The sequence below is a fragment of the Homo sapiens genome, chromosome 12 (genome assembly GCF_000001405.40).
Source record: "Homo sapiens chromosome 12, GRCh38.p14 Primary Assembly".
NCBI classification, from domain to species: Eukaryota; Metazoa; Chordata; class Mammalia; order Primates; family Hominidae; genus Homo; species Homo sapiens.
The window spans coordinates 30,360,907-30,374,701 of NC_000012.12; positions in this window are offsets into that span (position 1 = coordinate 30,360,907).

Sequence of the window (13,795 nt, forward strand, 5' to 3'; positions counted from 1 at the left end):
AGGGCCAAACATACAAGGTCACACAAGTGGAAGTCATCATTTGAAACTCAGCAGTTTCACTACAGGGCCTATATTCTTCTTTTTATTGTGGCTTTATTAACATTTTATTGGAAGGTGTAAAGCAAAAAGAGTGTCTGAGACAGATCTTAATCAATTTAAAGGTTTATTTTCCCAAGATTGAGGACATCCCTAGGAAAAAGAGACACAAGCCACAGTTGCATCTGTGGTCCATGCTTTTTCCAAAGAGGATTTTGAGGGCTTCAATATTAAGAGGGAAAAAGTAAGCAGGGAAAGAAAGGAGAAAAGAAAAAAAAGAGGGAGCATATGGTCACATTCTTATGAAGCTTTGATTAATGCTCACTGAATCCACATGTTGCACGTGAAAAGGAAGGGGTAGAGGAACAGTCCATTATGAATTATGTATTTGTCTCATGCTCAGTAAACCTTCAGTTTACATAAGCTCAAGTAAACATAGAGTAGAGGAAGAAGTTAAATATGCATTCATCTCAGAGTGGACTGTGGGATGATTTCTAGTCTCCTCTTGTCCCATACTTAAGAGAATAAGATGTTAATTTACATTATCAGGGTGAGGGAGACCACCTGGGGAAATATCTATTTATGAAGAAAAGGAAAGGCAGTTTGTGTGTGTGTGTGTGTGTGTGTGTGTGTGTGTGTGTGTGACTCAGTTTCCAAGCTTACTTTCCCTTTTGTCAGCTATTTTATTTTCCTTTCACATTTCCCTTTCTTCTTAAAAATATTTTGGAGAAAGCATTGTAGAAAAAAATGAGTCTTTAATCACAGGTTTGGTCTGATCCCCAGTCATTGGGACAGTTTATTCCTAGATGGTTAGGTTCCACATTGTTGAAGGGGCTCATTGGTAGCAGATTGTAAAGTCTCATGTCCCACAGAGAAAAATAGGGGGAGGAAGAGAGAATGAAAGTGAAGGAAAAAAGGAGAAAAGATCATAACAACAAAAGTGGAAAGCAATCTTGAAAAACTGATTTAGGCCATACTACTCTGAGGTCCATATATCGGTAGGCAGGTACAAACATGGTTTATATATATAAATAAGTTGCTATTATTTCTCCCAAAGTTTAAGTTGTCTAGCTTCAGTTCACAGGGCTTTAAGAAAAGCACAGTTTTAATTTCTAATGATTCCAAGTCAGAGAAAAAATGGGAGAAAAATGAAAGAAAAAGGAGAAAAAAAACATTAGTCTGGAGACTTGTAGCCAGGAAAGAATTCAGGATTCAGTCAAAATAAATTGTAGACAATAAAACTGAAAAGCAAAGGACAAGGATCTAACAGCAGGTGTTCTATAGTTTCTTTTGAAACATGTTTTTTCTCTCTAGTCCTCCATTTTTACCAATGACAAATCATAGTAGGACTAAATTATTTGCAAAATAAATTTTTGTCTTATTTATACATAATCTCATTATTTGCATAATGTTTGGCAAGAATAATTGTTTTCTACATAGGCTTCATTTTTTAATATTGGCTTTGTTGGAGCTCATATAAATATGTGTGTGTGTGTATATGTGTATATATATAAATGTGTGTATATATATATGTGTGTGTCTATATATATATATATATATATGTATATATATATATATATATATGTATATATATATATATGTATACCCTCAGATTCGACTTTTCAAAAGCCTTGAGCCCAGCCAGGGATTTATCTGTGCTGCAGATAGGTGTATGAGTTTGGGTGAAGTCCTCTCTTCTTAAGGTCCCAAGACAACCTGGTATTCCTGGGCCTGTCAGAAAGTGACTTATTTATCACAGATCAAGAACACTCTCAGAAACTGCATAGGTAAGGTGTGAGGCTGGTTTTCCTAAGAAGCTTTCACCTGTAAGTCACCTTCAATTTCTCAAAGCAGTCTGGTCATACCTGAAAATATGCCATTCAGTCAAAGCCTTTGTAAAATACCAGTGTCTAAAATTGCACCCTGTTGTAAAAGAAAGTAGAATTTTGTTGAACTTATGCAATTAACTATTTTGTCATAAATTAAGAATACTCACAAATAGTTTCCAAATTCTGGAGAAATTATGTTGAGAGAAAGAAATATCCTTCAAATTTTGCTCACAAGAGAATACTTTTACTCAATTGTTAAAAGCTATAAATAGCTCAAAAAAGTTTTCTTCACTCTGAAAAACAAAACAAAATGAATCAGCAATGTTGCAAAAATATAAAAATTATTTCAGTCCTCTATTAGTTCAGTCCCATGTAACTAACTCATTCCACTTGATATTCAGTTAGCAATCCTTATGAACACATCAGCTTTTTAATTACAGTCCTGGAAATTTTTCTAGTTCAATGGCACAATCTCCAAAGTTATTAGAAACCTGCCTTTCAGAGCACTCATAAGAGTCCTATAGCTGATTAGAAACTCCCGTTTTGAAAAGGATCAAAGTAAAACAATAATTGTGGATGACAAAAGTCTTAAAATAGTCACAGTTAAAGACACAATGATAAGGACATTTGTTATGGCATATAATAGTGTAACATCATAATGATAATTATTACCAATAACATTTCTGAAGACATTTCAGAATTATAGAAATTTGAAACACATACTCAGTAACACATTTATGTCAATTTACCTCAAAAAAGTTAAACACCATTTTATACTTGATAATGTTTCCTGTATGCTTTTAACACATTAAATAAGCCAAATATGTCTCTCTTGGACTTATAAAAAGTCAGTTTAAGGTCAAAAGACTGAATTTAGATTTTAATTTTGGAACATTTGTTAAATATCAAAGGTTTTAAACAGTTGATATCATGAAATAGCATCAAAGGTTACTTTAAAACCATTCATTCATTTAGCCAAATTGGCAATTCAAAGACTTTGAAAAAATAAAAACTTTTACTCTTTAATAGTGAAGATACTTGCTTTCCCAAACAATAAGTCCTAATAAAGACAGCATAGGCCAACTGAATCTATCTTTCTCTCTCCCTTTCTTCTTTTTGGTAGTTTATTCAAAGGACAAATTAAAATCTCCCACTATCTGTTAATATTACACAAAAATATTGTTCAAAGAGGAAAACAAATTATACCTTTCCATTAGTGTATGCTAAAGGTAATTTTAGTAAAGTCTTATAAATAAATCTATCAAGTTTTAATCAGTTTGATCATAAGGTAAGATTTCCATAAATCTTTTATAACTTTCCATTAACGAGTAGATCAATGCTGAAAAAAATCCCTGTTATTTCAACATGGAGGCCCAGATTTTGGCCCTGCCTCAGTGTGCTTTTTATTTTAATGTTTAATTTATAGAAAAACTAAATAATACACTTCAAAGTTTAGCCAACTTGATCACATTTAGAATTCCTTTTACAAGACTTATCTCCCACAATCAATTTTAAAACATGCTTAAATCTTCAGTTTTGTTCTATTATCCCTTAATTTTAAAAAATCCTTAAAAACCTCTAGATAAAACTGCTTTCTCTTTGATGAAAATCACAGTATCACATCTTTTTAACTTTTTATTGAAAATACATCTTACTTTTCTTATACTGTTTGTATGTATCTAGTAGTTTTAATTACATTGATTAATTGTTACGTTAACTCTTAGTGACCATATTTTTAGTGAAAAAGCTATGAGATAAGCAATTTTAATTATGTACCAAATGCATAGTCCAGGTCAAAAGGTAATGCCTGGGCCCTGGCCAAAGGCTCATATCTAAAGATATTAGTTTATACAAAAGTTAAACAAGTATTAAAAGTATTCCAGAAGCAGCATTAATATCTTAAAACATCTAGTATAGATAGTATCTGACTGCTTGACTAATTCAGGCCAGAGAGATGCTTAAATGAAATTTTTGAAGACGTTTCTATTTTATTTTACCAACAACTTTAGAACTGTCCTCACCAAAGATTATTAAAGTTATGTGAACTAAAAGGCATTTGAGTTAAAATTTCTATTTCTCTGACAAAATATCTGACTTATGCACTTTTTTCTTTAAACCAATTAATTAGAGCTCTTTTGTATATATTGGCATAGAGGGTCAGTCAATTATGTATTTGTTTCACACTCAGTAAATCTGCACTTTACATAAGCTAAAGTAAACATACTGTAGAAGAAGAAGTTAAATATGCATTCATCTCTGGGTGGGCAGTGGGATGATTTCTAGTCTCTTGTCTTATACTTATGATGATAAGCTGTTAATTTACATTGTCAGGGTGATGGGGGCCACCTGGAGAGATATCTGTTTAGGAAGAAAAAGAAAGGCAGATTTTTGTATGTGATTCAGTTTCCAAGTTTAACTTTCCCTTATGATATAGTGAGTTTAAGGTTCCAAGGTTTTATTTTTCTTTCATAAAAGTATCATGCATATAAGGTGCTGTGAAAAATAATTTGACAGTTACTCTAAAATTTAAACATGAAATTGCTATATGACCCAATAAATTCACTCCTAGGTATCTACTCAAAAGAAACAATAGCTGGTCAAATACATGTACATGTATATTCATAGCAACACTATTCACAACAGCCCAAAAGTGGAAACATCACAGATGTACATTAGAAGAGGAATGAAGAAATATATTGTGGTATATACATCCAACAAAACACTACCCAGCCACCAAAAGGAATGAAAAACTGATACTGTAACCATAATAGGTCCATTGCCATATGCACACAGCAAGTCAATACCAGGTTGCAACAGAGAAAGAAGTTTAAGCATAAGGCTGCCTCAAGAGAAGATGAGAGCAAGCCTCAAATCTATCTCCCCAAGGTGTCTGTGGCTAGAGTTTTCGAGGGTTTTGGAGTAGGCTAAAATGTGAAGATTGGTAAAATAATGCAGGTGAAGGGAGATAAAGTTGTATTCTCATGCTGATTCCGTTCCACTGTGGGCATCTTCAAAATGGTTGGCATTATCTGTTTTACTGGAATTCAGAATCGAAAAAACAGCTTAAGCAATTCTTAAACAAAAGCCTTATGATTCTATGACAGAAATCCTATCTAAAACAAATGTCTTATGTCAGAAATCCTATTTATATGAACAAAGGGATGCACGTGTTTTCCAGCTTGGTTCCATTCTCCCCATCACTTTCAGGTATACCAATCAAACATAGATTTGGTCTTCTCACATAGTCCCATATTTCTTGGAGGCTTTGTTCATTTCTTTTTATTCTTTTTTCCTCTAATCTTATCTTCTCACTTTATTTCATTAATTTGATCTTCAATCACTGATACCCTTTCTTCCACTTGATTGAATCAGCTATTGAAGCTTGTGCATGCGTCATGTTCTCGTGCCATGGTTTTCAGCTTCATCAGGTCATTTAAGGTCTTCTCTACACTGTTTATCCTAGTTAGCCATTTGTCTAACCTTTTTTCAAGGTTTTTAGCTTCCTTGCAATGGGTTAGAACATGCTCCTTTAGCTCAGAGAAATTTGTTATTACCGACCTTCTGAAGCCTACTTCTGTCAACTTGTCAAAGTCATTCTGCATCCAGCTTTGTTCTGTTGCTGGCAAGGAGCTGCGATCCTTTGGAGGAGAAGAGGCACTCTGGTTTTGAGAATTTTCAGCTTGTCTGCTCTGGTTTCTCTCCATCTTTGTTGTTTTATCTAACTTTGGTCTTTGATGTTGGTGACCTACTGATGAGGTTTTGGTGTGGATGTTGTTTTTGTTGATGGTGATGCTATTCCTTTCTGTTTGTTAGTTTTCCTTCTAACAGTCAGGTCCCTCAGCTGCAGGTCTGTTGGAGTTTGCTGGAGATCCACTCCAGACCCTGTTTTCCTGGGTATCACCAGCAGAGGCTGCAGAACAGCAAATATTGCTGCCTGATCCTTCCTCTGGAAGCTTTGTCCCAGAGGGGCACCCTCCTGTATGAGGTGTCTGTCTGCCCCTACTGGGAGGGGTCTCCCAGTTTGGCTACACAGGGGTCAGGGACCCACTTGAGGAGAAAGTCCGTTTGTTCTCAGAGCTCAAATGACATGCTGGGAGAACCACTGCTCTCTTCAGAGCTGTCAGACAGAGACGTTTAAGTCTGCAGAAGTTTCTGCTGCCTTTTGTTCAGCTATGCCCTGCCCCCAGAGGTGGAGTCTATCGAGGCAGTAGGCCTTGCTGAGCTTCAGTGGGCTCTGCTGAGTTCGAGCTTCCCAGCCACTTTGTTTACCTACTCAAGCCTCAGCAATGGTGGACGCCCCTCCCCCCGCCAGGCTGCAGCCTCACAGGTCAGTTGCAGACTGCTGCGCTAGCAGCGAGCAAGGCTCCATGGGCATGGGACCCACCAAGCCAGGCACAGGAGAGAATCTCCTGGTCTGCCGGTTGCTAAGACCATGGGAAAAGTGCAGTACTTGGGTGGGAGTGTACTGATTTTCCAGGTACAGTCTGTCACATCTTCCCTTGGCTAGGAAAGGGAAATCCCTTGACCCCTTGCACTTCCTGGGTGAGGCAATGCCCCGCCCTGCTTTGACTTGGCCTCCTTGGGCTGCACCCACTGTCCAACCAGTCCCAATGAGATGAACCAGGTACCTCAGTTGGAAATGCAGAAATCACACATCTTTTGCATTGATCACACTGGGAGCTACAGACTGGAGCTGTTCCTATTTGGCCATCTTGGAATGGAACTAGCAGCAGATTCTCAGATACTCTAGTGGATCCCTGGATTTGAGGGATCTTGACTCTTCATCTTTCAGCTCACAGCAGGCACACGACTCTCTGTGCTACTGACATTTAAGGTCCAGCCACTTTTCACACCTTGTCCCAAAGTCAGTAATTTCCCTGGTGACCAGCAAGGGGCTCTAGGGGCTGAGATTAGCAACTTATGACCTGTGTGTCAAAACATTTCAACTTTCTTAATCCTATTGTTACAGGACTGCCAGGTTTGTATGCCTGCTGTGCAGTAAAAGACCAATACACTAAAACAGTGGACAGTGGGGTTTGCTGTGGAGGAAGAGTTTTTAATAATTACATGACTACTGATAAAAGTAATAATAGGAATTCTCAAGCCTTAAATTTGTTGTGTCAAGGAGTTCTGGGCAAGTGTCTTTAAGGGGATCATAGGGAGTGAGGGACTGGAAAATGTCTTTGTTCTTATTTTATTTTAAGTTCCAGGTTACATGTGGAGGATATGCAGGTTTGTTACATAGGTAAACATGTGCCATGGTGGTTTGCTGCACCTGTCAACCCATCACTTAGGTATAAGCTTAGCATACATTAGCTATCTTTTCTGATGTTCTCCCTGCCCTGAACCCCTTGACAGGCCCCAGTGTGTGTTATTCCCCCAATGGGTCCATGTGTTCTTATCATTCAGTTCCCACCTATAAGTGAGAACATTCAGTGTTGGGTTTTCTGTTCCTGTATTAGTTTGCTGAGGATAACAGCTTCCAGATCCATCCATGTCTCTACAAAGGACATGATCTCCTTCCTTTTTATGGCTACATATTATCCCATGGTGTATATGTACCACGTTTTCTTTATCCAGTCTACCATTGATAGGCATTTGGGTTGATTCCATGTCTTTGCTATTGTAAACAGTGCTGCAATGAACATACACATGCATGTATCTTTATAATAGAATGATTTATTTTCCTTTGGGTATATACCCCGTAATGAAATTGCCTGGTCAAATGGTATTTCTGGTTCTAGGTCTTTGAGGAAATGCTACTTTCTCTTCTACATTGATTGATCAGTGATATTGCACTTTGTGTTTGTGTGTGGGGGGAGACCAGTTTTATTATTACACAAATCAGTCTCCCTGAACATTCAGGGAGAAGAGTTTTTAAGGATAACTTGGTGGGTTGGGGGAAGCCAGTGATCCAGGAGTGCTGATTGGTCAGAGATGAAATCATAGGGAGTTGGAGCTGTCTTCTTGCGCTCAGTCAGTTCCTGGGTGGCGGCCACCAGATCAGATGAGCCACTTTATTGGTCTGGGTGGGGTCAGCTGATCCATCAAGTGCAGGGTCTGCAAAATATCTCAGACACTGATCTTAGGAGCAGTTTAGGGAGAGTCAGAATCTTGAGGCCTCCAGCTGCATGACTGCTAAACCATAATTTCTAATCTTGTGGCTAATGTTAGTCCTACAAAGGCAATCTAATCCCCAGGCAAGATGGAGATCTGCTTTGGGAAAGGGCTGTTACCATCTTTGTTTAAACTATAAAATATAAACTAAGTTTCTCCCAAAGTTAGTTCAGTCTACACCCAGGAATGAACAAGGACAGCTTGGAGGTTAGAAGCAAGATGGGGTCAGTTAAGTTAGATCTTTTTCACTGTCTCAGTCACAATTTTGCAAAGGCAGTTTCAGTCCCTCCCTTTGGGTTTTATAACACCTCAATCTTAAGGTGTAGGCTATGAAGATGGGAAAAGGCCTGATTGCTCTGGCTTCTTCCTGCTGACAGGGGACATAGTGGGAATGGGAGTGAACCCCAAGGTGAGAAGAGTGGAACTGCTTTGCAACTGTCTGAGTGTACTCATGCAGGCCTGGCTGGGCTTTCAAGACTTGCATGGCAAAAACATCAGTACTCTCAGCTATAGTTTTACCACAGTTTTTAAGTGAACAGCCTACTACAAGGTAAATAATGAGGAGTACAATTCCCAATTTTAAAAGCAAAGATTTGAAAGCATTAGTTTGGGGACCTCTAACCCATGAAGAATTTAGAATTTAGTCTAAACTGCAGAAAAAAAAAACCTCAAGAATGGCTAACAACAGTGTACTATAGTTTTTCTTTTGAAGCACAATTTCTCTCTCTCCAGTCCCCATTTTTATTAAAAACAAATCATGATAGAACTGATTTGTTTACAAAACAAACTTTAGTCTTACTGTACTTGGCCTGGTTATTTGCATAAAGTACAGCAAGAATAATTACTTTTCACTTAGGCTTTTTTATTTGGCTTGATGGAACTCTGTTTGATGAAGAATCTCAGGTAAGACTTTTTAAAAGCCGAGCCCAGCCATGGGTTTGTACCTTCAAATACCAATGAGTTGGACAAATTCCTCTCCTCTTGAGGTCCCAAGATAACTCGGGGTTCCTGGGCCTGTTAGAAAATGGCATTCTTTACTTACCACAGGTTAAGAACCTTGTACAGGGACTCTGTGTGGACAAGGTATGAAGCCAGATCCCCCAGTGGGCTATAATTGGCTCTATAAGTCAACTTTGATTCTTTAAAGGAAGCATTTCTTTCCAGTCAAAGCCCTGGTAAAATAACCAGGTTCTCCAATTGTGTCCTGTTACAAAAGAAAACAGATTCTTATTGCACTTATGCAATTAACTATACTGCCATAAATTGAGACTATTCACAAATAGTTTCCAAATTCTGGAGAAATCTAGTAGAGAGGAACAATATGCTCCAAATTTTGTTCACAGGAATATATTTTACTCACTTGTTAAAAGTTGCAAATAGCTCTAAAGAAATAAGTTCTCTTGACTCTGAAAACAAAAGGTTTAGCCATGTTTAACACATTAGCTCTCCATGAGAGTCTTAGAATTTTGGGATTTTTCCTCTATTCCAATAGCACAATTTTTAAAGTTATCTGAGACCTACACTTAGAGTCCTATATCTGATTATAAACTGCCTTTTGAAAGCAAGACAAAATATCTGTGGATGACAAAAGTCTATAGCCACTATTAAAGCTACAATTGACTAGAAATTTTGTTTACTTCAGTGGCATGTAACAATTTTACATAACAATTATAATTATTGATAATGTACACAATATTATATCAACATTATAGAAGTTTCCCATAATTTTGGAACACATACTAATAACATATTTATACAAATATAGTCCAAAGTAAACCAAACACCATTCACTCTTCTATTTGAAAGATTTTTCTCTACTCTACTGTCACAATCTCCAGCATTATGAATCAGAATCCTGCATTTAAGAGCACCTGTTAAATTTTATAGCTGATTATAAAACCATCTTTTAAAGAGGACCAAAGTAAGACCACAATTGTCTATGGATGACAAAACATTTTAGGGAAGCCACAGTTAAAGATATGATTGATAAGGAAATTTGTCACCTCTGTGGCACACAGTCTGTTAACGTAATAATTATAATTATTATTGATAGCATATACTAAGTCATATTAGAATTATAAGAGTTTTACATATTCAGAACAAATACCAATAACATGTTTACACAAATGTAGACCAAAGAAAGCCAAACATTATGTCATATTTGACAATGCTTCCTGTATGATTTTTGAACCAAATAAGCCAAATGTCATTTTTGGACTTTAGAGGACCTAATATCTAAAATATTAGGCTAGAAAGAAACATAATTTATAATTTGATTTTGGAAAGTTTGTCAGATATCAAAGGTTTAAAACACTGGATATCATAAAATAGAATCCCAGGTCACCACGTCATTCATTTGGCCAAAGTGATAACTCCAAAATCTTAAAAGAAAACCTTTACACTGATAGGAGACTTAGCTTTCCAAACAAGACCCAATAAAGACAGCAAGAGGCTAACTCAATTTGTCTCTTCTCTCTCCTCCATTTTTTTTCCTGCTATTCACCCAAAGTAGAAAACAAAACCCTTTCATTATCTTTTAACATTACATAAAAATCATCTTCAAAAGAGAAAGCCAAATGTCATGTTTGCATTAGTGCATCTTCAATGTTAAAGCTAGTTTTTTAAAATAAAATTTTATATCTCTATCGGTTTTAATTAGTTTGACCATAAGGTAAGATTTTCATAAACTTTTTAAAACCCCTTACAATGTTCCATCAAAAAGCAGATCAATTTTCTGAGAAAACACTGTTATTCCGACACATGGGCTCAGATTCTGGCCCCACATCGGTATGATTTTTAGGTTTTTAAACTACAGAAAAAAATCTAAATAATTTCTTTTAAATCTTAGCCACCTTGTTTATACCCAAATAATTTTTTATAAGATTAACCCTTTACAAACCCTTTTCACTTTGCTTAAAGCTTCAGTTTCACCTCATTACTCTTTTAGGTTAAGACAATCTTTAAAGACCCTAAACTAGACAAAATTACATTCCCTTTAACAAAAGCCATATTCCTATGCCTTCTTATAATCTTTTACCAAAAACACATTCCCTACACACCTTGTATGTAAACTATTTCTCCAGTAATCTCAATTTCATGTTACAATATTAACTCTTAGCAGCTTTTATTTTTAGTGAAAAACCTGATAAGTAAGCGATTTTGATTATGTACTAGGGGTGGAGTCTGGGACATCAGATAGAAGTGAAGATAAGGTCTGACTCTTTTCAGCGTAGCTAGGGACATGGCTCTCCACATGTCCCAGGCCTCATCTATAATGTAATGCTCCAAAGTGGGTAAATTGAATGATTTTCAAAAGTCAAGGAAACAATTTGACTTTAAAGCATTTAGCAGATCTGATATCTGACCTTAATTTAGACCAAATGTCTACATTTTGAAGACATTTAATTTTACCAATAATCTTTAAAATTGTCTTTGTTTCCAAAAGATTACTAAAGTTATGTGAACAAGAAGGCATTAAGTTTCTATTTTTCTGACAAAATATTTCATTTAAGCTCTTATTTTTCTAAGCCAATTAATCAGAGCTCCTTTATATATAAACATCACACACACTTGAAACACATATAAATACAGACAAACAGAAGATTCAGCACTTGTAAGATTTTTTATTTGCCAGTTTTTTAATTGGATTACTGGCTTCAGGGTGCAGCCCTTGAAGGAACAGGGCCAGGAAAGCATGCATTTCTAGGGCCTAATCACAGCTAAAGGCAAAGACAGATCCCCAAAATTAAAGGTACCTTTTTATACTGGATCCTGGATCCCCAAAAGGATGGAAATACTACAGGAGAAGACAGTTCAGTGCTTTTACCAATTGTGCATTTCACTGCAAGGCAACCCAAAGCCAATCAGCCCATTTTGTAATTAGATCAGCCCCCATGAGAGTCTTATCTCTCAGTGGGGGACAGAGATGTTTCCATATACTCCAGGTGACCAAGAGCATGCTTCTTTGATCCAAGTGTGCAAAGAGTCAACTATCCCTCCATAACTATTATTAGCCATCCCCTAAAGTATATTTCCTACCTAGTTATTATACACCAAGCTCTTTCATAATGAGAAGTAATTTCTGATACCCCTAAACTCAAAACCATCAGATAACACAAGGCAAAACAGAACAGAGCCTTTTATTTTAAGAGGGATCGATCCACTTTTAATTCCTGGGGTTTCATGAGGAAAACAGAGCTTTTTTCCAAAATGGGGCTTGTAGCACCTCCTGTTTTTCCCAAGGAGTCCCCGGCTACCAGAAGTTATCTTAGGGTCTCTCATGTGTGCATTAAGAGTGACAAGACAAAAACAATGGAGACAAATAATTCAGTCCACTGAGAAGAAAAAAAAACTTTTTTCCAGAAAAACAAGATCCAAGAAGAGAAAAACATAAAGCCCTTTTAAATACATCTATAGCTTGTTTATCCACTTTTAATTAAGCTGACTTTTAACCATAGTGCTCTTTAAAAAAGAAATCCTTTCACATCTCTTATTACCCAACTTCAGCCATTCCAAGTGGCCAATATTTCTAGCTTCTGAACTTTACCAAAGGTAACCTCCTAGGTGCTTCAAAGACATCGTAAGCAGTTTCTTTTTTTTTTTTAAAGTATTCAGAATTTCCATAAGGTAGTTCAGAGAAAGGAAAATTCAAGAGAGAAAATCAGAAGCTATCTATGAGGGGGGAAAAAAACCTCAATAGATGGCAAAGTTATATAAATAAAAAAACCAGAAAGAATCATTCCAGAAGCCAAGAATAGAACCCAGGCTGCCATTGTCAAAAGGCAAAAACCTTAGCTACTGAGTTACAACATTGAGCAGTTTCTATTGCTCTTCCCAGAAGGAGCCTAGAGAAGCCAATTTCAAACTTGCAAAAGTTGTTAACTCCTCAAGAAAATTTTTAGAGCTAACTATAACATGAATCTCCAAATTCCTGTCTTCTAGATAGCAGAAACCAAGAGAAAGTATTCCCACATGGTCACAATGTTAAGCTCTTAAGGACACAAAACAAGACAGAGAAATTTCATCTGGTATTGGTTTCAGGGACCTGCAGCAAAGTTAGAAACTGAACAGTCTGCTGGGCTGGCTTGAAAAGTGAGCTTCAAACCAATATCAACCTGACAAAGCTCAAACCTTTTCCTATCGGTCCCTGTTGTCTTTGATGCACTCCAGGTGGGGAGGGACAACCTCCAAACAGTAATTCACAATGAGGTCTCTGGGCAAGGTGAAGAGCAGATAGTCACTCCAATATAGGCTTGTTGAGCCTTCTTTAGGGCTCATTGAATGTGACCACACAAATAAGGAGGGTTCTCTGAGTTGGGCCTGCAGAACTTCCATCAGCAACCCCTTCTGTGATCCCTTCTACATACACAACCCACACACAAAGACAAGATGGACAGAAGGCCTTCCAAATCAGATCGCTAACCAAGAACTCCAAGAGTATCCCTTGCAAACTATCCTCCTACTCTTCATCTAAGAAACCTTCTCAAAATCTTCCTGATTGAGAAGTCTCCCAAACCAGGACTCTTCCTACTAGTTAGAAAGAGTCAACTGAGGCTCCCCAGGTGCCAAACAGACACCCTGCAATGGGGCTACAGACACAGATACCCAATGGTGGAGCTACAAACAGACACCCCACAATGGTACTACAAACACCCCACCATAGGGCTACAGAACCAGTTGGGAGAAAGAAGGAGGCATTGGCAGGGCCTAGGTTACCCACCAATCCAGACATCCCACAGTGGGGCTACGGACAGACACCCTGTGATAGGGTACAGTTAAAGGACATCTCCTCATGACTATTTCTCCTTTGCAAT